The 27,596-nt window shown below is 37.8% G+C and overlaps 1 long non-coding RNA gene across 2 annotated transcripts in view; it reads left to right on the plus strand.

Moving 5' to 3' along the window:
* MIR2052HG (MIR2052 host gene) overlaps window positions 1–27,596 on the plus strand; it is a 158,596-nt gene that overhangs the window by 51,008 nt on the left and 79,992 nt on the right. The gene's annotated exons all lie outside the window — the stretch shown is intronic.

The raw sequence follows: 27,596 nt of genomic DNA on the forward strand, positions 1-27,596 counted from the left end.
CATGTGACTGAAAATATTTCTCTACTAAAAGACAAAATGAAGGTGCATTTTATTTCAGGCTCTCAGTCTGGTCAGCCACCAGCATGGACTCGGAATGCATAAGCCCTGGTTTTATTGAACTGAAATATTTTTCTTTTCATAAAGTGAAATATTAAAGTGTGTTGGTTTCAGTTTGATAATTCAAATACTGCCATTTTAATGGCTTCCATCATAAATCTATTTTATTGCACTCTGTGTCATCTCTCATATCTTGGATAAAAATGCTTTTGTTTCCTTTCTGGTTAATAGACTTGGAAATCATCTGTGTATACGTTTGTTTCTTTCCTTTTTGTGATTGGAGTGAGTTAGTAATAAATTCTTTTTTTTTTCTCATTTTTTTTTCCTTAGCATGCTTTCAATTCTGTGTTACATAAGGCCACCATAGCCGTTGGGAACTGGTTGTTTTTAATGATGATTATTTTAATGATGTCTGTTATATTGTAAGTTGTCAAATTATTGACAATTTTTGAATATTGTCAAAAACCTCTATTCTCTTTAAGAATATTTATTTCTCTTTGGAGTTCCACTATATTGCAAGGTGAATGAATGTGTTTGACAGGTAATGGTTAGAAGTCTGTATGAAATTCTTCTGTGAGTAAAAGTAGCTATTATCACTGAGTATGAATATATGATTTTGGAGTGTTTTTGTTTGTAATAAAATAGTATAACATTTATAACATATTTTCTTGCTTTTTATTAAAGAATCTTAAAACTATGGAAAATGCAGTTCTACAAGGAGTCTACAATTTAGTGGAGAAGACAAAAAACAAAAAACAAAAATTTAGTAATTCAAGTTGGTGTATGGTATGGAGAAATTATTTCTCCCCAGTCCTGATTTTTTTCTTCCATGTGAAAGGAGCTTAGTATTCTTGGCCAGAGAACTTCCTTTTTATCCTCTGCAAGAACACAGAGTAAACTACTTTGCTGGTAGGCATTTGTTAGTGGCCCACATTTCTTAATTAGTTGAAGTGAAAATACACAGGGTCTGAGTCTGGTCACTCTGCTCTTTCTGAACCAGCGAGAAGCACAGACCTTGGTATGTGAAATCAAAGTGTGGACTCAAACTTTCTTTTAGGTGGCTATTTCAGGGTTTAATAAGAGGGAAGAAAGGTAGCAAGCCTATCTAGGCTTTTGTACTGAACTGTGTCTTCTCTCTGGCATTCACTGGCAATGATGGTGATATTTTGGTTTCAATTGCTGACTGTCTCGCCTTATTTCTCAGTCGACTTAGAACCCATTTGAGGAACAGGCTGGTATTTACTGGAACCCCTGAAAGGCTCCAGCAAGAGTTATATCAACATAGGCTATAGCCTCAGTGTCATCTCTGATTAGTTGCTAAAATATTTCACATTACAGACTGTCTCCTGCACTGGATTGTCAGTATTTAAGGCTGTCTTACTCAAAGTATTTGATAGTCCTGCCTGTGGGAGCACACTGCCTTTTGCACTGTTAGGTTTGAATGTGGCCATATGACTTACTCTGGCCAGTGAAATATAAGTGGACGTGACACATAATATTTCTGGTTGGAGCCAGTGATACTCTCTTTTTCTCACTTCTGCAGTGATGAAAACACATTTTTAAAAGGGAGCCTGTATCAGTCTAGGCTCTGGAGTGAAGACCATGTGGACCAAATCCCTTTGCAAATTGGCATTGAACATGTGGCACATATGAGAACTAATTTATTACCTCAAATTATTGAGATTTTGGGGTTGTTTTTAGCATAGTGTATATCTTATTCTGACTCAGACAGAGTTACTTATTCCTTGAAAAATGATTTAATGGTTAAATATATCATGACCTTTGATATAAATGTGATATCTCACAATTTTAAAAATAGGGTTCTCTGGGGTGGGTGGAGACGGGAAGGTATTCTGCATTAAATGTGCTTATCACATAACACATATCTATTTCTGAAAAGTCAAATAGGCTATTCATACTTGTGCATATCAGATTCCTATCAAATTACCCAGTAGAGATCAGAATTTTATGTGAACTGGCCACCAACAAGTATGCTTTGATGATGGAGTGAGCAGAAGAAACTAAAGCTGGGAGGAAGTGGGTAGCTGACTGCAGCAGAACTGTTAGCAGAATTTAAATTGGGCTCCTGAGTGATTGGCTGCTTCAAAACAATAAGGGAACTGCATACAATTTAGTTAGCATGCCATAACAAATTCCACTTGATTAGTAGAATTCACAATTCATAGTGATATTTATCCTTACCTTATTCTGTCTCTTTAGCTATACCTAAACTTTTTTTTCCCCCTTTTCCCTATTTTCTTCTGCTTCTTTTCACAAACACAAATGCTGGCCACATTAGAATTAGCAAGACATTTGTCCAAAGACAGAAAGTTTCACCAATATTTTATAAGTGGCAAAGTTTTCCAGTTTTCTTTTAATTCTATCCTCTTATCATCACCATGTCAAACCATAATGCAAAGTGGGCAGAAATTGAGCTTTCTGATGTTTATTTTGCCAAGAGATTTGCCTCATTATTTGGTGTTACAGGATTTATTACTTCACCAGCTAGTTTAATAGTTTCAAAATGAATCTGTAGATGTGCTCATTGAAGAGATGCTACTTTTTATCAGACATACATAATTTTTTTTAAGCTTTCTGTTTTCATTTTCATAATATTCTAATCCCTGGCCATGAGATTTCAGTGGGGGTGTTTGAGTTTATCCATTTATTAGTGTCATGCTAATCAAAGATTAAATGACATGCCCTGCAATGTAAATAAAAGTTCTAACTGTGCTTCTGTTGAAAGGTAAACTGATGTAAGAATTGAGTGTTTTATAGCACATAGTGGTACAGCCAGGTTGAACTCAGAGTAGCTGTGTTCAAACCAATGGGACCACACCTGAAGGACAGATCATTACATGAAATACATATGAAATTGGTCTCAGTCTGAAACAAATTGCAACATTTCAATAGAAGTAAATACAATGGCAAGTATAAAATAAAGTATTTTTTTGATTCCCCATTCAAGCAGTAATTAAATTACATGTACCCATAATGTACATTCCCATAATGTTACAGTATGAATATATACTTTGAATGCTTCAAATAAGCATGACAGATATAGAATTATGAAGAAATTGTTGATTTAAATAGATTTTTCAAGATGGTTTTCTCAGCAGGTTAGGAGTTATATTTGAGCTCTGCTTATCACTAACTACTAAAAAAAGCCAAATATTTAATAATATAGTCTTACATATGCAAATAGAGGCACCTCAGGACCAGTTTTTGTAAATTGTAGACACCCCTACCTCCACTAGGAAAGGCTATGGGTGGAGAGAGCATTTCTACTGAGAGAATCGTATTTGGGGTCTACAGAAGAGCAGTAGAGATATGCTTTTTTCTTCATTTTCAGTTAGAGGAGTTTCAAGGAAAAGGTTTGGAGAACTTGACATGTGCCCCTCAGTTTTGAGGTCTCAGTGGGCTGGCATTCTGTTCTTCTTCTCATGAGGAATCTACAAAGGAGACTATGACTGACTGGCTGCTTAGATTATGGAGGGAAGGAGGCAGGGTGTACTGTTTGCACTCAGACAAAAGATACATGGGTGTTTCCATTGATCAGATGGGGACTGATATGATTTGGCTGTATCCCCACCCAAATCTCACCTTGAATTATATCTCCCGGAACTCCCCCGTGTTGTGGGAGGGACCTAGGATGAGGTAATTGGATCATGGGGGTGCATCTTTCCCATGCTATTCTCATGGTAGTGAATAAGTCTTATGAGATTTGATGGGCTTATCAAGGGTTTCTGCTTTTGCTTCTTGCTCATTTTCTCTTGCCGCTGTTATGTAAGGAGTACATTTTGCGTCCTGCCATGATTCTGAGACCTCCCCAGCCATGTGGAAGTGTAAGTCCAATTAAACCATTTTTCTTCCCAGTCTTGAGTATGTCTTTATTAGCAGTGTGAAAATGGGCTAATATAGTAAATTGGTATCAGGAGTAGGGTGTTCCTGAGAAGATACCCGAAAATGTGGAAGCGACTTTGGAACTGGGTAACGGGCAGAGGTTGAACAGTTTGGAGGGCTCAGAAGAAGACAGGAAAATGTGGGAAAGTTTGGAACTTCCTAGAGACTTGTTGAATGGCTTTGACCAAAAGCCTGATAGTAATATGGAAAATAAGGCCCAGGCTGAGAAGGTCTCAGATGGAGATGAGGAACTTGTTGGCAACTGGAGCAAAGGTGGCTCTTGTTATGTTTTAGCAAAGAGACTGGTGGCATTTTGCCCCCACCCTAGAGATTTGTGGAACTTTGAGCTTGAGAGAGATGATTTAGGGTATCTGGTGAAAGAAATCTCTAAGCAGTAGAGCATTCAAGAGGTGACTTTGGTGCTGTTAAAAGCATTCCATTTTAAAAGAAAAACAGAGCATAGGAGTTTGGAAAATTTGCAGCCTGATGATGCAATAGAAAAGAAAAACCCATTTTTTGAGGAGAAAATCAAGCTGGCTGCAGCAATTTGCATAACTAACAAGGAGCCGAATGTTAATCCACAAGACAATGGGAAAAATGTCTCCAGGGCATGTCATAGGTCTTCATGGCAGTCCCTCCCATCATGGACCCAGAAGCCTAGGAGGTAAAAATGGTTTTGGGGACCTGGCCCAGGGTCCCCATGCTGTGTGCAGCCTAGGGACTTAGTGCCCTGTGTCCCACCTGCTCCAGCCATTGCTAAAAGGGGCCAAGGTACAGCTCGGCCATGGTTTCAGAGGATCCAAGCCCTAAACCTTGGCAGCTTCCACATGGTGTTGAGACTGTGCATGTGCTGAAGAATTGAGGTTTCATAATCTCCACCTAGATTTCAGAAGATGTATGGAAATGCTTGGATGCCCAGGCAAAAGTTTGCTGCAGGGGTGGGGCCCTTATGGAGACCCTCTGCTAGGGCAGTGCAGAAGGAAAATGTGGGGTTGGATCCCCCCCAAACACACATAGCATCCATACTAGGGCATCATCTAGTGAAGCTGTGAGAAGAGGGCCACCATCCTTCAGACCCCAGAATGGTAGATCCACTGACAGCTTGCACCGTGCACCTGGAAAAGCCACAGACACTCAACATCAGACTATGAAAGCAGCCAGGAGGGGGCCTATACCCTGCAAAGCAACAGGGGCAGAGCTGCCTAAGATTATAGGAACCTTCCTCTTGCATCAGCATGACCTGGATGTAAGACATGGGGTCAAAGGAGATCATTTTGGACCTTAAAATTTGACTACCCCACTGGATTTTGAACTTGCGTGGGCCCTGTAACCCCTTTGTTTTGGCCAATCTCTCCCATTTGGAATGGCTGTATTTACCTGATACCTGTATCTTCATTGTATCTAGGAAGTAACTAGCTTGCTTTTGATTTTACAGGCTCATAGGCAGAAGCGACCTGCCTTGTCTCAGATGAGACTTTGGACTGTGGACTTTTGGGTTAATGCTGAAATGAGTTAAGACTTTGGGGGACTGTTGGGAAGGCATGATTGGTTTTGAAATGTGAGGGCATGAGATTTGGAGGGGCCAGGGGTGTAATTACATAGTTTGGCTGTGTCCCCACCCAAATCTCTACTTGAATTGTAGCTCCCAGAATTCCCCTGTGTTGTGGGAGGGACACAGTATGAGGTAATTGAATCATGGGGGCCAGTCTTTCCTGTACTATTCTTGTGATAGTGAATAAGTCTCACGAGATCTGATGGGTTTATCATGGGTTTCCTCTAGCTTCTTGCTCATTTTCTTTTGCTGCTGCCATGTAAGAAGTACCTTTCACCTCCTGCCATGATTCTGAGGCCTCCCCAGACATGTGGAACTGTAAGTCCAATTAAACCATTTTTTCTTCCCAGTCTTGGGTATGTCTTTATCAGCAGTGTGAAAATGGACTAACACAGGGCCATGTGATAGAGTTGGACCAGGAGATTGTCTTTGAACCTGCTCAGGAGGGTATCCTGGAGAGGCAAGGTGACTGTACCAGAGAGGACTGCCCACTTCTGAGCTGAGGGAGAATATATAAGCAAATGGTGGAAAGATACATTTACCCAAGTCAAGGAAACTATTTGTAGCTTTTCAGGGACAAAAGAAGGAATGTTTAGGGACAGTCAAGAAGGGAGTCAGTACTAAACACCTGATAATCCTAGAGAAAAGTAGTGCCAGCTGAAGATAGAAACAATAAAGTAACATTTTCCTTCCTTCATACCTAGAGGCATAGAACAGAATAAGTAGAGGAGGAGGACATGAGTGCCTTGGTGCTCATCTATAGGGTACTGCAAAGATGCAAGTCTGCAAACTCGTACAAACACTGCAGCATACAGGGAGAGTACTCATTACCCAGGCAGTGGTTACCCTTTCTATGCTGCTGCCTTCTTCTCATCTTCTTTTCCCCTAGCCACAGCTGGAAGTGGTGGGCAGGAAGGAGCTATCAGAATAAAGATAACAGAATCCAAGCACCCTCTTTCCACAGTTGCCAGCTTCCCACTGCAGCAGCACCAGTCTGGGGAGTGAGGATGGGGAGGAGAAGAAAGTCATCTGTAAATGAAGTTTAGAGTTTTGTTTATTACAATAAACCACTTCATCATTCCCCTATAACTTTTCAGTGACTCCTCATTCCTCACACAGTAAAAGCCAGCATTCTTTTTTATGACCTGCAAGGCTGCTACTCAAAGAGTGGGCCATGGACTGGCAGCATCAGCACTGCCCAGGAGTCTATTAGAAATGCCAAATCTCCAGACCCATCCTAGACCCACTGTTTTAATCCGTTTTCACACTGCTGACAAAGACAAACCTGAGACTGGGCAATTTACAAACCAAAGAGGTTTGATGGACTTACAACTCCACATGGCTGGGGAGGCCTCACAATCATTGCGGAAGGTGAAAGGCATGTCTCACATGGCAGCAGACAAGAGAGGAGATCTTGCCCAGGGAAACTTCCCTTTATAAAACCATCAGATCTTGTGAGACTTTTCACTATCATGAGAACAGCAAGAGAAAGACTTGCCCCCATGATTCAATTACTTCCCACCGGGACTCTCCCACAACATGTAGGAATTGTGGGAGTTACAATTCAAAGTGAGATTTGGGTGGGGATACAGCCAAACCATATCACCCACTGAATCAGAATCTGCATTTTCACAAGATCCCTAGGTGATTCACATGTTCACTAAAATTTGAGAAACTCCATGACCTATGAACTTCTACCCCTGGTTCTCTTTTTGGCTCACATAGTAATTTTCTCAGTTTTCCTACTCCAATCATGTTATTTCCTGAACATACTAGGTGGATTCTTGCCTGAGGGCCTTAGCTCTGACTATTCCTTCTCTTTTGAACACCATTTTTCAAATACCTATATACTCACTCCCTTTCATCTTTGTCTTTAATCTTCTCAGTGAGACCAATACACAATTAAGCTTGCATTTAGAATTTCATCTCCATCTGCCAGCATTCCCTTCCTCTGCCCTGACTTTTTTCATTCACATATAGCACCTTTTAATGTACTGTAGAACTTGCTTTTTATTATGTTTATTGTCTGTCTTTCCTGAGAATGTATGCTCCACCAAAGCAGGGATTGTTGTCTTGTCTGCTTTGCCTGCTGATGTTTCTTTCTCTCGCTCTCTTTTTTTTTTTTTCTTTTTGAGATGCAGTCTCTGTCTGTCGCCCAGGCTGGAGTGCAATGGCGTGATCTTGGCTCACTGCAACCTCCACCTCCCAGCTTCAAGCAATTCTCCTGCCTCAGCCTCCAGAGTAGCTGGGATGTGCCCACCACCACACCCGGCTAATTTTTGTATTTTTAGTAGAAATGAGGTTTCACCATGTTGGCTAGGCTGGTCTCGAACTCCTGACCTCAAGTGATCTGCCCACGTCAGCTTCCCAAGTGTTGGGATTACAAGTGTGAACCACTGTGCCTGGCCCTGTTGATGTTCCTTGAGTTTGCAGAATAATGCCTGACACACAGTAGGTGCTCAATAACTATATCTTGATTTTTTTTCAAATTATCAATTTCTCTAAGCACTTAATGTGATTAAAGGCAAACAGAATCTCTGTAAAGCATCTTATTTTATTGGCATACATGTTTGCACCAAGAAGGCCACTGGACAAAGTAGGCAAGTTGTTTTAACTGGAGAATATGGGCTTTTACTCATCTTCACAATTTTGATGAAGGAAGCTTTATTTAAAACAATTTAATAAATTCTTTCATACTTACCCAAATGAGCTTCTCTCCTGAGAGACTGAGAAAACACAAAGAGATTTATCTAACAAAATTTTATCAGGACTAGTGTCTGAAAGTTATGCGCACTGTTTTCTTTTTCCCCAAAGAAACTAACCTGAACTTTTTTATGTTTCTATCCAAATTTGAATGTTTTGTTGTACAAGCTCACTTGTTCTTGGACAATGAACCTGTTTCTAAGAAAGGCTAAATATGCTCATAAAGAAGACTCAACGGGCTTCTTGGACAACAAATAATTTTTACAAAACAGCACTTTGATGAGTAAAGTGTAAGTAAATCAGAAACAGATGGAATACATAGTTACTGAGACTCACAAGTTTGAAAAACAAGTGAAAATTTCTCATGTTTTGTGTCCTCAAATATAAAAATAAAGTGTATAGTTGAAACAAAACTTTTCTAATTTCTACCATGTTTTGACTTTAAGATCGTGTTTCCTACATGCTTATTTTTTATTTTAGAGATGGAGTCTCATTTTTTTGCTGAAGCTGGAGGGCAATAATATAATCGCAGCTCACTGTAGCCTTGAACTCCTGGGCTCAAGTGATTCTCTCACCTCAGCCTGCCAAGCAGCTAGGAATACAGGCACATACCACTGCACCTGGCTAACTTTTAGAAAGAATGTCTCGTAGATATGGGATCTCACTATGTTGCCCAGGCTGGTCTCAAACTCCTGGCTTCAAGTGATGCTGCCATTTTGGCCTCCTAAAGTGGTGGGACTACAGGTGTGAGTGTCCATGCTGGCCAACCATGTGCTTTTCTGATAGGAAGTATTTTCTATTTATGAACTTCCTCTTTATAGCACTTACAGGTAATTGAATTGTTCTAATTTCTCAATTTTGAACCAAGCTAAATATATTATTAATGTACTTAGGACAGTCTAAAGTTATTCATATTTTCTTCTATTTTAATATGAGGAATGGCACAATTTTTGTTTTTTGTTTTGTTTCAGTTAGTGTTCTTTTGGTCATAAGAAACAGAGATATGCATAGATTAGTTTAAGAAATGATTATTCTGCAAATATACAAGGACATGAAGAAATCCATGCACCTGAGTATGGTTCTAACATGAGCATCTGCACAACAGAGCATCATGGCAAATGGAATTGGGAAGCCACTAGAAATGGCTAATGGCTGATCTTTTTCATGAAGTTTTGCTCATGGCTCTTCTCGGCTCACCTGAACCATTTTTCCTCACTTTGCTGATTACTGACCTTATAAATTCAGCTTCAAATGACCTACAGTGGACCTGGACTGAGCTTACTTTATTATTTATTAACTCAGCTGCCCTAGCAGTCTGACTTAGACTCTTCAGTTTCAAATTCCTGAAAGAAGACTCTGGCCCAGCTCATTTTTTGAACTAGGTCACTGACCACTCAAACCTATGACTAGACTATCTGGTGCAATCATCTGTGGTTGAGGCAGCCAGGTTTCTGCGCAAGAGAGAGGTGTGTAAACAGGTGGAAATTCGGGTGGTTCAGGCTTCAGTGTGCTAAACACATACTCCAGGATTCACCAGTTGAAAGAAAATTACCAGTAAAATATTTTTGCCAGGATATTCCTTGGAAAATAAAATATTACTTGTTTCTCTTTTCAAGAATTGAAATGCTTTAGATTTTAAATTTAGGATGCCAAGATTGGAAAGGGTGTAGAGGACTTTCAAAGTTCAAAATTTTGTCTAATCTGTCTGGATTTTGAGAAAACAACAACATCATCAATTACATGAGCGTTCAAGGGATGTGCCTTTGGAGATAGTTTATTGTATTATTTCAAATATAGTCACTCTCTTTATCTTCCTAAGAGCCCTGAAATATTCCATAAAAAAGTAATCTTGCTTTCATACACGCTGATCTTATAAAAGGCTTTATGTTTAAAAAAAATAACAGACTTGGGGAAATTGGAGGAGATCCGATGAAAACCTGATAACAGTTGGAATAAACTTTATTTTTCCTGGAGAAGGCAGAGGAGATAATAAATAATAATTTTAAATAATATATAATTCTGATGTAGGATTTAGACAAAAATCTGCTCTGTCAGCAACTGGAGTTTAGAAAACCCTCAAAAGGGAGATAATAACTACAACTGAAAGAACAGCAAGTGAAACAGGACCTGACTTCCAGCCTTGGCTTTGCCAGTTACCAGCTGGGCTACCTTGGTTACCTGGTGACATGAAAAAACTTGGACTGGATGCCAGCTTAGGTCCTTTTTTTTTTTTTTTTTTCGAGACAGAGTCTCACTCTGTTGCCCAGGCTGGTGTGCTTATGGTGCGGTCTTGACTCACTGCAACCTCCACCTCCCAGGTTCAAGCGATTCTCCTGCCTCAGCCTCCCGAGTAGCTGGGATTAGAGGCACATGCTACCAGACTCAGCTAATTTTTGTATTTTTAGTAGAGATGGGGTTTCAATATGTTGGCCAGGCTGGTCTTGAACTCCTGACCTCCTGATCCGCCCACCTCAGTCTCCCACAGTGCTGGGATTACAGGCGTGAGTCACTGTGCCTGGCCTGGTCCTTCTTAACATTAAAGATAAATCTAAAAAAGAGACTTCCAGGGCCACTGGGCATGGCTGTACAAGAGGTTCATTGCACATTTCTAAGGTGTGACATTCTGAGGATTCTTATTTTTATGTGGAATTTTATAAAGAGTAATGATTTCTTCCACATGTTGTATTATGTTTGGCTCAGAATTTAAAGCTCAATCACCCATGCAATGGCATTCATCTGAACCAAGAAAAAGCAAGGGGAAATCGGATGCAGGTGACAAGGTTTGAGCTTGTGACTGAGAAACAGAGCTAGGTATATTTTTATGTCCCCTTGAAAGAAAAATAGACTCAAAGCATCCCTATGTTGTATGGGAACTACTATCATTCAAAAAGAGATACAAATCACTATGTCTGATTCGTTGCTAATTATTGAAAAACGATATATCTAGACTTGAGACTAATTGTAAGAAAAAAATCGGCAAACATTACCAGTGACAAAAATATAGGTTTATCTATCATAGCACTAAATGGATATAACTCTAAAATACACAGGTTAAAAATTTTACCCTACCTTTAGGCATAGTTATTCCAATTCATTCAAAGAAAAACAGGCCACTTTCTCACAGCAAATCGAGCATTATGAGAGTATCACGGTTTTGAAACAAGAGTTCCCTGAAAGCAGGGCTCTTAGAATCTAGATTATAATATCAAAGGCTTTTTCAATGGTCAGAAGTTGACTTGAATAGACATTTTCTCTCCCACAATAATGTCAACCACAGGCATCGCTTCACTTTTGTAAATGTATTCATTGAATATTTGCCTATTTATATATTCCAAGGACATTGTAAAATTTCAGCCTCTAGAAGAAGAGTGGATCCAGCCTTCCGCATAAGAAGTAGGATTCTAATGAGAACACATGGACACAGGGAGGCGAACATCACATACTGGGGCCTGCTGAGGGGTGGGGGGCAAGGGGAGGGAGAGCATTAGGTCAAATACCTAGTGCATGCGGGGCTTAAAACCCAGATGACAGGTTGACATGGCACATGTATACATATGTAACAAACCTGCACATTCTGCATATGTATCCCAGAACTTAAAATAAAAGAAAAAAAAGAAGTTGCGTTCTGTAAGGTATAATTTGAGGGCCTAAGAAGCCAGACTATTTTCCATGTCCAAGGATAATTGCTATTTAAGTTAAGAATTTTTCTGTTTCCACTTATAGGGTGGAAAACACCTTAATATCTTGTAAGAATGAGCTTATTATAGCGGTTTTCTTTAATGATAGGAGGGGCTTATGTGGGCACTTTTGGTTCCTAAGCAGTTGGTGTAAAAATGAGAAGGCACTGAAAATACATTTTTCTCCTAGAAATGACTCATTTGTGTGTGTGTGTGTGTGTGTGTGTGTGTGTGTGTGGTATAATTTTATGATTTTATATATTATACAGTATTTTAAAAAACAGATACTTTTTAAAGATGCATGATAGTATCATACTTTTATTATGCTAATCCCCAATGTGATAACCAAGATGATATAATAACACAAAATTGCATCTTATTTTAATCTTGAATTAATAAATAAACTATAAAATAAGATAATCTATGTTTGTTGACCATAAAATCCCGAAGTCCATTAGCATTACTTATTCATAAAGAGTATTGGTAATATGAAGTACCAATATGATGAATACATTCTTTGAAAAAGTGAAAGTGAACAGAAGATGTAAATTACACTGACTTTTTTTGCCCAGGGGAAAAAAAGAGCATCATGCCACAGCTGGAGTAATGACAAAGTTTATTGGGTTACACTGGATAATAATTCTCTGACTTTGATTCTTTGATATACATGCCAGGGAGATTAAAAGGAGGCCTGTGACTTGTTTAAGAACACCGTGTTTTGAATTGTTTGCTGTAGTTTTTACCTATCCCAAATTTGTAAGTCTATGGATATTAAAACTAAAATAGAATTCATGGTTGCTCTTAGGGAATATTGGCTGAGCCAGGTTGCAAGTATGGATCAGCTTGAGATAGTTAGCTTTGCAAAGGAGAGAAAAGATAAGTCACTTGCAGTCTGTTTTCCCTGTCTTTCAAAACTATTTGTTCAAAACTAAATCCCAAACTGCTCCTTTGTAAACACAGCCAATGGGGCTTCCTAACTCTCATGAAGTAAATAGTTTCAGCTTTACAAAATTGCAGAATCTCAGGAGGCTAAGAATAATCTAGTGAACTTGATCTTATCTAATGTATTCAGTGTTCTTTGAAAATTTGGGGAAGCATATAGAAAATGTAAGTAGCATTTACCTCTGAGTGTTAATCTTGGAAACTGAGTGTTCACTAGTTTGGATGCACTCACTGCACTTACTTCTCTTAGAGCCAGGGCTCAAGTAATAGTGATTAAACCTCAGGGATCTCTTTAACACTCAAGAAAAAATTATTTCCTTTTCCATATTCCACCGTGAAAATTGGCTAACTTTATTGGTGATGAGAAAGAAACGATCCTCCAGTGGAGCTGGAGGCCATTATTCTAAGTGAAGTAATTCAGGAATGGAAAACCAAATACTGTATGTTCTCACTTGTAAGTGGGAGTTAAGCTATGAGTAGGCAAAGGCATGCAGAGTGGAATAATGGACTTTGGAGACTCAGAAGGGAGAGAGTGGGAAGGCGGTGTGTGATAAAAAAAAAAACTATGTATTGCGTACGATGCAAACTACTCAGATGACAAGTGCACTAAAATCTCAGAATTCACCACTATTGTCCATGTAACCAAAAACTGCATGTACCCCAAAAGGGATTGAAATTTAAAAAAAAGAAAAAAAAAGATTCTCCAGAACAAGGGCTTTAGTGACAGCCTAAGGCAAATCATTTGAGGATTTAGTAATAGATTTTCTCAGCATGGAAAGGCTCTGATTCCAAAAACTGACTCAAATATATAAAATAAAATGATATTCAGGAACCTTATTTATCTTACTTGAATCTTTCTTGTTCCTTCAGCTTGTCTTTTCCATCCTACACCTTATCAACTTTTCTTTTTCTTTTCCTTTTTTATTTTTATTTTTTGAGGCAGAATTTTGCTCTTGTTGCCCAGGCTGGAGTGCAACAGCACAATCTCGGCTCACTGCAACCTCCGCCCCCAGGGTTCAAGCGATTCTCCTGCCTCAGCCTCCTGAGTAGCTGGGATTACAGGTGCCCGCCACTATGCCCAGCTAATATTTTATATTTTTAGTAGAGATGGGATTTCACCATGTTGGCCAGCCGGTCTCGAACTCCTGACCTCAGGTGATTCGCCCACCTCAGCCTCTCAAAGTGCTGGGATTACAGGCGTGAGCCACTGCACCAGGCCTCAACTTTTCTTTTGTTCTTTGCTTCCACTCCAACAACTTCCTGGACTTTGCATCTGTAATTGATTTCAATCCACCACAAGTCTTTGCTGAAGATCTCTGGTAGATATCCTGTTACCAGCATCATAGTGAACCTTCTAAGTATCTCCTGGTTTTCTCAAGAAATCAAATTCACTTTTACCCTTTTTATTCTCAGTGTATTTCCTGGCCTTCTTTGAATTGCTTCTCTTCTGTTACAACTTTCTTTTTCTGACACTCAGGATTCTTCTCTGCTTTCCTCGTTTATTCTTCCTACTGTGCTTGCTTTCAATCTCTACACTTACCATCTTCTCCAGAACACCGCCATATTTTTAATCTCTGCCTTTTTTGATTTCGAATTTGCCAATATGCTACTCTCCCACATCTTTACACATGAAATGGCATTCTTGCAAAAGTAACAACAGCAAACAGCAACAATATGATATGATGTGATATGAACTCGCATCGATATGCTTGGCCCTCAAGTCAATGACACACAGTTTTCTTTGTGATCAACAGATAAACTTACGGGGAGAATAACCTTGCTGGCTCCATGTATTCACCTCCAGGTACTCTTTAGCCCTTTGCAAATCATAACTCTTTTCTCACATCTCTATTGAAGCTCTTTTTCCGAAGGTCACCAATGACCTCCCCAAAATGCTGCTTCTATCTCCTGCAATATACAGAACTTCTAGCCATTGCTTCCCTCCTTGCTATTTACTTGCTTGAAGGCTTTGCTGTCATTAATCACTCTCTCATCATCATTTCCTCCACATCTCTTTAGGATCATTTTATATTTACCTCTCCATTTTATTTTGACCACATTTATGATTTTTTTCTTCTCACTTCTATTATAATACTTCAGGCCATATTGCCTGTGTATACAGCTGATACGGTTTGGCTGTGTCCCCACTCAAATCTCATTTTGAATTGTAGCTCCCATAATTCTCATGTGTCCTTGGAGGTAATTGAATCATGGGAGAGGGTCTTTCCCTTGCTGTTCTTGTGATAGTGAATACGTCTCACAAAATCTGATGGTTTTAAAATGGGAGTTCCCCTGCACATGCTCTCTTGCCTGCTGCCATGTAAGACATGCCTTTGCTTCTCCTTTGCCTTCCACCATGAGTGTGAGGCCTCCCCAGCCATGTGGAACTGTGAGATCATTAAGCCTCTTTCCTTTATCAATTACCCAATCTTGGGTATGCTTTTGTCGGCAGTGTGAGAACAGACCAATACAACAGCTTAGTTACTTTCACAGTAACTTCTAAATTCATACAACTGTCCCTGCCTCCTCCACCATCATCCTAGTCCAAGCCACCAGCATTTCTCATGGGACTCCTGATTTAGCCTCCTGACCAGTATCCCTGGTTACCTCTTTTTTTTTCTCTTATAATCCGTTCCCCACAAAGCGTCCAGAGACATATTTTAAAAGAGATAAAATCACATAATTCTTTTACTTAAAACCTGCCAATGTCTTTTTACAGCACTTAAAAATAAAAGCCCTTTTCCTAACTTCAAAGCCCACCCATCTAAAGTAACCACCATCACTTGGTATCACATCTCTGTTTTCAGGAGAGCATTTATCCTAATTTGATTGATTGTTTTCTGATTTATATTTTTCACTATTGCCTTTGTTTATTTGTAGTCTGTGTCTTCTTGCTAGGACATATTGTCTCTGAGATCAGCCCCTCATCCCCTTCTTAAATTGCTGTGTCACAGGACCTGGAAAAGTGCCTAGCACATGATGACCTCAATGTATATTGGCTGAATGAATGTCTTGTAGACCTTTGGAGAATGCATCTTTAAGTAAATGCCCAGCATTCTGTCTGGCTCAAAGTTATATTTATTTAAAAATTCCAAAAGATGGTGTCGAATTACCATCCATGAAAACTGCTAAAGATTTACTCTCCCACCAACAGTGTAAGAAAGTGCCTCTTAATCCATATTCTTGGTCACAGTAGGTATAATGAAACTATAAAACCTTTGTATTGCCTCTCATGGTCCTGCGTGTCTGCTGGGCTCTGCAGACCAGTTCTGCTAGTCCTACTTGGGATTTCTCATGAGGCTGTAATCAGTTGGAGTTTGGCATCCTCTGGAGGACCTCCACCTGCATGCTGAGACAGCTGGGCATCTCTTTTTGGGCTCCAGTTCATCCTAGCGCCTTTCCTCTTCATGTGATCTCTCCAGCAGGGTAGCTGGACTGCTCACGTGACTGCTGAGGAGCCGCAAAAGCTCATGCAAGAGGGATAAATCACCAGGTGTTCTTAATATCTGCTCCTAGAATTCCTGAAGTGCTGCTAGGTTTGTTGTCTCCTGGTCAAAGGGGACAGGAGCTCAGTCCAGAGGCCAGAGAGGAGGGGTATGAATGTGGAGAAAAGGGTGGGCTTATCTGAGGCCATCTTTGGAGCCTGGCTGTCACTATAGGTACAAGTGAGGGAGCAGGGCTGTGGCAGTAAGGGCAAGAATTCCCAATTCTGTGGTAGAGCATCCTCATGAATTAGAAGGTCAGGAAAGGAACTCATATGACAAAAGATAATGAGACAAATTAGCATAAAAACACATCTCTTGAAATTTAGCTGGTCCTAAAATCTAGAAGTTCTCTTTATTATTTAAAGGGAATGTAAATGAATATGGCATTATTTTTACATTTATTTTAATAATCTAAATTCTATCACTTTTTTAGAGTTTTATTTTACCTATGCCTATTAAATTTCATTTTTAAAGTATCTTTTGCCTCACACATGCTACTGCAGAAACCCACAAGCATGGATGGAATCCTCCTTGTGGTCTGTTTCTGACATTGGTTTTTCTCAAGTACTCCTTTTAAAACTTGTGGAATAATACTGAAACCCCCAACAGACAATCTGCTCTCCTGTGTTTATTACTGAGTACCAAAGCCACAGCTTTAACCACCGCAGCACTCCATTAATTGTGGGCATGGGATGCTCAGGAGAACCACCCCTTGTGATTGTGGCCTGAAACCCTCCAGGAGGCCTATAATTGACTATCTGACCTCCAAAACGGGAGTGACTGTATTAAGGGTTCCACATAAAGCTGGGTTTGGTTTATTTTGTGATTGGTATGACACATTATCTGAGCAGGAAGTCCAGATGTTGTCAGGCATGTAGGCCCATAAATCTGGAGAATGATAAAAATGAGATTGTAGGCATGCAAAGAGAGATGACTGGAATGGAAAAAAAAAAAAACCCAGTGACCCTCCCTCTGCAGGAGTCGCTGCATGACCTGAGGTGGGGGCTATAGCTTCTTTCCTACTAGGTGGAAAGAAATGTAGAAGAAGTGGCTTTGCTGATGTAGAATTGAGTGTCAGAGGCTACTGACACATTGCTTTTGCCAGAGTGCATTTTTTTCCCTACAGTTTCTTTAGATGTGATACTTATTTCTATTACAAAAAAAAAACAATAAGCCTACTTTTGATATTTTAATTTTTTCAAATTACACATGCCAAGAAGAACAAGCAGATTATATATGTACACACACACACACATTTTATACTGTCTGCTCAGGGAAGCAAGCAGATGTTACAAAGACTTGTTTGTTTGCCATGAATTTAGAAAATTTGAAAACTTACCAGGAGCTGGTACTTTAATTTTGTCTTTAGTTACAGAAGGGAGGAACTAGAGCAGTTGTTTTGCTGTGTCACATAGTTGTAAGATATCATCTGTGACTTTTGTCCTCAGCTTTCTCTGCTTTTCTATCCCTACTTTCTAAAGATAATTTTGTTCCACTTCCATCTCTAAATATCACTCTCTTTGGGGCATGGTGGTGGAATGTTGTGATGTGCCACTCAGATCCTTCTTCAGGAACAAAGGAATTATCATGTCCATGGCTGGCAGAGCTGTCCCCAAAATAGCCATGAGTTATCAGCCACCTCTTGGAACTGCCCCACCAGAAGAGAGGCACCTCGCCAAGGTAAGAACCTTTTTGTGGCACCACTGGCAGTTAATGGCAAACTCAAGTGAGGGGCTTTGGAGGACATCCTATCCTTGAACTCAGAAGACTTGCGGAAGCTCATTTCATTTTCAGAGCTTCTCTGTTGGTCTTGAATTAAAGTTCAATCTCTCCTCCTGCTCAATCTTTCTTTCCCTTTCTTGTCACAGCTCTTGATCTGAGAGCACTCTGGGATAACCTTCTCACAATGAATTTCAGAATGTGACTCCTGATGAACCCAACTAGCTACAATCTTACATCCATGTCTCCAACTTTATTTCCTTGAACTTGAGTTTCAAAATTCAAACTTTTAAATCAACATTTCTGCTTGCATTTCTAAGTAATTTCAACTTTAATATGCTCAGAAATGAATCCTTGATTTTTACGCCAAAATCTACTTGTATCAGAACTACACTGCTCGATGAATATCACTGCCAGTCATCTAGATACTTAGACCCCAAACCTAAGCAACCTTGACTTTGATCTGTTCCTCAAAAATCCACATCCTATTGATCAACATTCTGTCAGCCCTGCCTCTTTAATGCATCCCAAACCCAATTGCCTCTCACCATTTCTACTGCTGTAATCCTATCCAAGCTTCAATCCGTTCTCACCTGGCATATGCCCATAAGTCTCCTAATTGTATCGCTGTCTCCTTTCTAGTATGCTTAGATATGTCTTCCACTGGCAGACAGAGAGATCTTATCTAAGACTTAAATGAGATCTTGTCATTTTCCTAACTCTTGCTAATGATTTTCCTTTCCAAGAATCAAATCCAAACTTTTCACCAGAACCCCATATGATGAACCTCTACTTACGTATCTCATGATCCATTGATAGGCTCACTACTTCTCAGGCATGTTGCCTTTCTCTCTGTCTTTTGTACACACCAGTTCTTTTTCATCCCAGGGCATCTGCAATTCCTGCTTCTTGGGAGGCTTCTCTCCCAAGTATTTGCTGGGTACTTTTTCTATCTTCTCCTCCCTTGGATCTCAAATGTCATCTCTTCAGAGAGGTCATCCTGACCACCTAGTTAGAGCAACTTCTAAGCATCTTCTTTACACCACTCGTTAGTCTTAAATTTGTTATTTCTGGCTAAATTATGTCCCCACAAAATTCATGTTGAAACTCTGACTCCAGTGTGTCTATATCTGGAGACAGGGCCTTTAGGAGGTAATTAAGGTCAAATGAGGTCTTAAATGTGAGGATCTAATCTAATAGGACTGTGACCTTGTAAGAGAGAGAGATGTCTTTCTCTACCACGTGAGCACACAGCAAGAAGGCTGCTGTCTGCAAGCCAGAAAGAGAGCCCTCACCAGACACTGACACTGTTGGCACCTTTATTTCAGACTTCCAGTCTTCAAAACTGTGAAAAAATAAATTTTGGTTATTTAAACCACCTAGTCTGTGCTACTTTTTATGGAAGATTGGGAAGATTGGGGTACCATCTGTCTTGCTCACTGCTATATCTCCAGTGCAAGGAACAGTGCACTTAACAAAAATATATTAACTGGCTTGGTGACTGTTGCCTCAAAAATTATTTAAGTTAGAGGTAAAAGACAGAGTATGAAAAATTTAAGTGCTATTCTTTCCGGTAATATGGCAGGCTATATATCTAAAGAAACTCCCCTGGGCTAGATTATTCAAGAATCAGGTTGAAGTATGAAATATCTCTTTAAATTTATAAAATAGTGAGAGAAATACTTGAGACCTAAAATAACGGAAGGACTATAAACGATGAAAGATAATCAAGCACTAAATTTTGGCAGTTGCTCCAAGAGATACGCTAATCACTAGAGTTCAGGAGAGAGATGTATTTGTGTATATTCTAGTGAAAAAGAAAAGTTAGATACTTAAACAAAACATGGAAGGACTTCTAGTATTCATATAAGCTAAAGAAAAATATTTCAGGAAGTTGGTATATGGTTATCAGACATTGATAAAACAAGCCAACTGGGAGAAATGTTGAAAAATTTCTAAGTCCAGAGTCAAGATTGGAAAGGTGAAGAAAGGAGAAATCCTTTCGTGGCTTTAGTGCAAGAGGAAGGGGTTTTAATATAATTTTTAAATAAACGATTTCTTTCTCTTTTTTTTTCTTCTTCTCCTTTTTCTTGCTCCAACTCCTAACCTCCTCTTCTGTTTCTCTCTCATTTTTTTCTCTCATTTATTTTGTCACTATTTCATTCATTTACTCAATTAGGAGATATTTCATGGACCCCAGATTTTATGAATCACTTTCTAGGAAAGATAAATGTAGACAAGTGATCTCTAACCTGTAAAGAGCTTGTCGTCAAGTCAGGTGTGTGTAATAGTTACATCAATGAGAGTGTACGTGTGTGTGTGTGTGTGTGTGTGTAGGTGGTGGGTAATGCAGGGAAAGGAAGTGGGAAAAGGAAGAAAAAAGAATATTTGTAAGTCTGGTATTAACTTTAAATTTTATCATTTCCTTTTGCCAACAGCTATCTTAGGATAGCTAGAAGAAACTCCTATGCATTTTGTGTATTATGATTTAGGTAGACTGAATTTTTGCTATCACTTAAAGGCATCCTGTCATTTTTGGTTGACCAGAGCTGATTCTGTTATTTGAGGTATTTTTATACATATTCTAAGGATAGCTTCGCTTGTTTTTTAGTTCTTGCAAGTCTAATTCTGGTCTTAATAGAGAGGTTTCTGTTTAATGAAATGGTAGAGTTGAGTTTATTAAAACAACTACTTAAGGTACTTTTACTCTCATTTTAAAAGCTGAGGATCCAAAAGTAGATTTTATGTTCTTTCTCATCTGGAGATATAAAAATGTTATTAACATTCAACTAGTCTCAAAACCCAAAGTTGGAACCCGGGGTTGTTTGAAGAGGAATTTACTGGTAACAATGTGTGGACTGAAAATGAGAGAGCTATTCAAGTAGTGTGCTTTGTGGTGGTTGAGGTTTAGTTAATCATGGTCCTTCACCATCAAAGATAACAAAGCTTTGGTACTGCTCTGCACAATATCAACCCTTTGTATTTTCAGATCTGCTCACTAAGGTTGAATTTTATCATTTTCTTGCTCAAAGATTCAATCTCCATTAACAGAAACCCACTAAGAGGAGTGCATTTTGTGGCTTCAGCGGCCTACCAAACCAAACATTTGCAGGTCAACTCAGGAGAAGAAAAATGATCTCTTTCAAGATGACTGTTACTGCACAAGCAGAAAAATATCACAAAGCAGGATACCTTTTTATAGATAAATTTTAAGTCATCAGCATTATCAGTTTTTCTCTATAATCCCTGCTAATTGTAAATATCAAATTGCATTGGCAGAATATGGCTACCCAGTAAAGATTAGTGCTTTATCCACATATTATTATAAAACAGTTATCAAATAATATATTATACTTCTATTTTTCTTATATTTCTTGGCCTTCTATGCATCACATTTTCACAAAATCTCACAGCTGTTACCTAACTTGAGAGTGTCCATATCTGGGTTTTGCAGGCCTAGCATCCGTTGAATCTAAATAATACACAGCACATTCACATTTGATTATATGAAGCACAGGAATTCAGTACATTGCTGTGTAGGTAGTTTGTTGCCCTGGTGAATCATAGCATAATATTAGGATGAAAGAGATGGGTAAAAGGATATCATAGTAATGGTGATCTGCAGGAATCTTGGGCTGTTCTGGAGATGAAGGGTAAATGTAGTGAAATGGACTACCAGTCATGATAGTTAAATTTGTCCAAGGGTCCTTTCCTGTGAACAGTTTCTGAGGTCTGTAACTGGCTTGTAGTCAGGGCAAATGGATATTCAGTGTATGTCCAGTGAAGGTTCAGGGAGAATGGGAAGAACACTGACAGGCAGCAATGTATACCTATTATTTAAATACTGTTCCCAAATTTGCAAGTTCATAAAAATGTCACTTTCCTATCACAGAAGGTCCTTTTAGACACAATGTTTTATTACTTTAATATCTGCTGAATTCTGTTGATATTATTTCTGCTGTTTTATTATTTTAATATCTGCTGAATTCTGCTGATATTATCTGCTGAATATCTGCTGATAAGTATTTCTTCAAAGTATAATTGTAGGCTAAGTGCATTAACAAAGGATTTCCTTTTCCAGAACTATTTAAATTGAATATTTCAGATTGCAGTGGAGTAAGTTCCATGCTCTGTTGACCTGCTTTTTTGAGCAACATACTTTTGGTCAACTACCATCATAAAGGACAGAGATCCATGTATGCAGCTGCAAGATGAATGAGACCTTCAATCTACTGGTGACACTGCTTAATAATAAAGCAGTTAGTAAAGAAAGAAGAGGCAAAAAGAAAAAAAACATAGCTTTTATTGACAGGAAGGAATTCCAGCTGTTTGGACAGTTACGTATTGTTTAATAGGGTAGATTCTTTTAAAACCTGAATGTGACAGATATTTACCCAGGCTTTCCAGCTGAAACTGAAAATAGGGTCACAATAATCATAAGGAACAGCAGAATCTATGGAACCCCAGTTCTCTTCTATATCCCTCCCTGCTAGTTTAATGAGTCCTTAGGGAGTCTCTCATGAGCACCTAGAGGGCCACAATTGTCCTTTTCTTTCTACATTTAGTGCCCATCTTCTCAGCTGATTCTGACACCCATCAGATAGATCACGATTTGCTCTACTGATATTCTCTCCCACTCCCAATGTTGGCTGCCTTGGTTGGCTATCAAAATTGTCTTACTAGCTTGCTGGTCATTTCCACAACATCTTATTATGCTACAGGGTAGATGAACTGAAATGGAGGTAAATATCCTTCTTTGCTTGTGTTACACTTTGTATCTAGGCTAAAAGCAGGACAAATTTTATATATATGTGGCCAGGACCACGTCCATCAATTCCTGGTCTTGGGCTAGAAAAGAAGTTAAGAAGATATATATTGTAGTTCATTCATATTTATTCTCCCTTTACAACTTTCATCTGTGTTCTTAGAACAAGTTTGAAAAACTTGATTCACTTTAGTCTCAGAGTGTCTAGTTCTTTATCTTCTACAGTGTCTGATAGGGAAAATGGATAACCATTAGCCTAACTTTTTGATGCCAATTTGGAGCTTGAAGTTAACTGTCACAATCAACACAGTATTTTTTTGTATATATATATATATATATATATACACACACAAAATATCTATCTATATATATTACTGCTCCTTGCAGAGCAGGGCTATCCTCTAAGCACTGTGCCCAGAGAAGCCTTTTTTTATGTTTTTTTTTAAACAAGCAATTAGTCTCCATGCAAATATAATTAATATCAGTATAATATGTTATCCTAATAGACATTGCTAACATAATGGAAGTTACAATGATACATGGTGTAGACCGGTTATACCAGAGGTTTTTGTGTGTGTGTGTGTGTGTGTGTGTGTGTGTATCATTTATCTAGACAGAGCAAGTAGGATTTGGTTTCTGTGCCTGGATCATCACATTGAGAAAGATTGCTCAGAATGAATGTGTGATTGATTAATTACACCTCTCATGGTGTCAGTGGTAGAACAACTATATAATTGCCACCCCCAAGCTAGAGTGATGGCTTCTTACACTAGTTTACCTCTCACTCCTCACACAGCCCCTCCCCAATCCTGGGATGTAATGAACTAGTTTGATGATTAACTATTTAAAGAGCTAGAGCACCATAATTATAATGCAAAAAAATAGGGAGAGGAATTTTACATAAAATTAAACATAATATTGAAAGACGTACATTTCTACTAACAAGTTGGATCCTAATCAGATGACTTCATTTTTCCTACCAAAAAATAAAGAATCATGAGAGAATTTGGCTAAGTTTGTCTTTACTCTTCCCTACTTTCTGTGGTCTTCTAGTTCATCAGTGGTATAACTTAGATCTCTCTCATATTCTGAATCTCTCTCCATCTTTTTCACCTTCTCGTTGCTAAAACGTATCTTAGACCATAACTAAGGGTTCATTTTAGAACCCATTAATCATATTGATAAACAAATGATTAACAGGTTCAATAAGAACCTGTTAATTACTATACATTACTATGATACTATACGTTACTATACTACTTACATACTATATGTTATATATACTATACGTTACTATACTACTTGGAAACTTGGAAACTTTTCTATTACAATTGGAACCTGTTAATCATTTGTTTACCAATAACAGGCTTTTATTGAACCTGTTAATCATATTGGTAAACAAATGATTAACAGGTTCTAATTGCAGTAGAAAATTTTCCACGTATTATATCTTTCAAGAGTATACACATTTAATATTTTTATTCAATAATTGAACAAATTTACTGAAAACCTCGTATGTACCAGATACTTATCTAAATTGTGGGGATGCAGTGGTGAATAAGAAAATCATTGCCCTCAAAGGACTTATGTTTTAGTTTGGAAAGACAGACTGTAAGCAAACAGAAGATAATGGATGGTGGTAAGTATTATTGGCCCTTCATACCCATGTTCCACATCAGCAGATTCAACCAATCACCAATCAGAAATGTAGTTAGGCTTGTGATGGTTGCATCTGTGCTGAACATGTACATACTTTCTGTTCCTTGTCATTATTTCCCAAACAAGGCAGTTATAACCATTATTTACATAGCATTTACATTATATTAGGTATTGTAAGTAATCTAGAGCTAATTTAAAGTATTCCAGAAGGTATGAATGGGTTATATGCCAATACTCTGCCATCTTATGTAAGATATTTGAGGATTTTAGTATCTATAGGGAGTGGGGGGTCCTGGAACCAATCCCTGAAGATACCACAGGCACTGTGCAGAGGATGATTACATTAGGATGATGTGAAGTTGAAAAATCAGTTAAACTAGGATGATTGATCAGTGTGTAATTACTCCAAGTGGGGTCATTAGAAAAGACCTTTCTGAAGAATGACAGTTAAGGTATCTGAATAAAAATAAGGATCCAGGCATATAAAATACCATAGAAAACACAATTTAAATCTAAGAGTAGAATTTTAGGCACAGTAAAATAGATAGGAAGACATTTAGAGAGGATGAAAACAATCTTCATGGCCCTGAAATCACACTATCTAATGCTCCTCCTACATGCGCAATCCGTCCTTATTAGTACATGCTTCCTAAATGTTATTAGTATCGGTCCGATAAATCTCTTAAATTTACAATGTATTAATTTGTTAATTAAAAGAGATCATCATATCCTTGACTAAAGAAGCTATGTTTAATAGCCAGAGAGAGGAAAAATTCACCTGCAAACACACTATTATTCTCAAGAGCAATAATAAAGTCAGAAGACTATGGAATAATGTCTTCAATATGCTAAGAGAAAAATCAATTACAAATTAGAATTGCAAACCTGGAAAAATGTGTTCCAACAATGTTTTTTCAAAAGAACTAAAGCAGAGGGTTAACTGCCAACAGATTTTACTAAAGGAACATCTAAAGCAAACATTTCAGAATGAAGGAAAATTATTTTAAACATATGTAGATGCATAAATAAATAGCAGATAAATTAATAATAAAATGTTGTATAATGTCTGATGTCTCAGATTGAGAATAAAAAGAACTGAAATACTGGACAGAATTAGCCTGTAGGTTGAGAGTAGTTTCATTGCAGTTAAAATGATTTATGGTTCTTATCTTGCTCAGGAGGAAAATTGCAATATTAATAAAACTTCTGTGCAGTAATATTGCAAAGATTACATTAAAAAATAGAAGTAGAGGATATAACTTCCAAACAGTAAAAGAAAAATTAAATGAAATGAGAAAACAAAACTAACCAATCCAAAAAATACAAGAGAGAAGAAAAAGAAGTATAGAAAAAAAATGTGGCAAGGTGTACAAAGTAAGAGGGTGAAAAAATTCAGATATGTCAGTAGTCACAATAAATAAAAACAGAGTTTATTAGATAGGTTTAAAAATAAAAAATATGAGAATAAAGATGAATAAGTACTAGAGATCTAATATATACCATGGTGACTACCGTTAATAATAATGCATTGTATGCTTGAAATTTGCTAAAAGAGTAGATTCCAAGTGTACTTACAACACACACATACGAAAGGCAACTATGAGAGGTGATGAATAATATGTTAATTAGCTGGATTGTGGTAATCATTTCACAATGTACAGGTATATCAAAATGTCATGTTGTATAGCCTAAATCTACATAATTTCTATGTACCATGCCTCAATAAAGCTGGAAAAATCCAGGAATAGTCTGATAAGAGAAACACTTAAAAGATAACTTGAGAAGGTAGAAAAGAAAGAAATGTAAAAAGAACTTGTGTAACTATTTTAATATCAACACAAAATATGCTTAAAGTTAAAAGCATCAGTAGAAATAGAAAAGATGATTAAATAATGTTGAAGAGCTCAGTTCACCAGGAAGATATTATAATTCTAAACCTACATGCACTAATAAAATCAGTTCAATATATATGCACAAAATTATAGAGGAATAAGTTCATAAACACATCACCATCATGAAGTGTGTTAATACACCTCTTTCCTTTCAAAGGTCAGACAAAAGACAGTAAATTATAAAAAACTTGAACATCATAATTAATATGCTTAAATAAATAGATATGCATGAAATCATCCATTATTATAAAACATATCTTGTTCTCAAACACATAAAGAATATCTAAAAAAATTAATTATGTATGTATTATTAATCCATAAAGCAACTCTCAAACTTCCAGAAACTGATGTCATGCAAACAACATCACACTGGTATCACATAGTCTACCTCAGGGAAATTAGATTAGAAGTAAATTGCAACAAAAATTAACATATCAAAAACTGAAATTAAAAATCATATGTCTAAATAATTCATAGGTCAAAAACCAGAAGTAATAAATATAAGGTACTATGAAGAACTGGATGATGATGAAGTTACCATATATCAAGACTTATAGTATAGTATGCAGTGAAAGCAGTATTTTAGGAGCAACATAGTGTGAATTTGCCAGTATTTGAAAAGAAGGCAAAAATGGAATGAGTCAGATATCTAAATTAGCAAATAAAGAAGAATAATAGAATAAACCCCAAAAGAATAATGGCTATAGTAAAAAAAATTTATAAACTAGCAAGGGCAAAAGTGGTTTCTCTAAAAGACAATTTGAACAAAACTCTGATGAGACTGATTGAGGAAAAAAGGAAAGAAGTTACAAATATTATTACAGCTTGAAAAAGCTCATAACTACAAAGAGCGGAAATTGAAAAGATAGATTTTTTTCCAGGCAAATTTATAGAAAATGTTTGAGAGTATTAACAAAATAGATGAATTCCTAGAAAATATACAATATCAAAACTGACAGAAGAGGAAATAAAAAGTTGGCTGAAGAGATAATAATTTGAATTGCCCTAAAATCAGTAATTAATTGAATACCTAGTAAAAAATATTTTCACAGAGAAAACAACTGCCTCAGATGACTTTACATACCAGTTATACTAAGTATTCAATTAAGATACAATAATTCTCACAAACTTTTCCAGAGAATAGAAAGAATGATAACAGGCTGGACGTGGTGGCTCAGGCCTGTAATTCTAGCACTTTGGGAGGCCAAGGCCGGCAGATCGCCTGAGGTCAGGAGTTCGAGA

The sequence above is a fragment of the Homo sapiens genome, chromosome 8, assembly GCF_000001405.40.
Source record: "Homo sapiens chromosome 8, GRCh38.p14 Primary Assembly".
NCBI classification, from domain to species: Eukaryota; Metazoa; Chordata; class Mammalia; order Primates; family Hominidae; genus Homo; species Homo sapiens.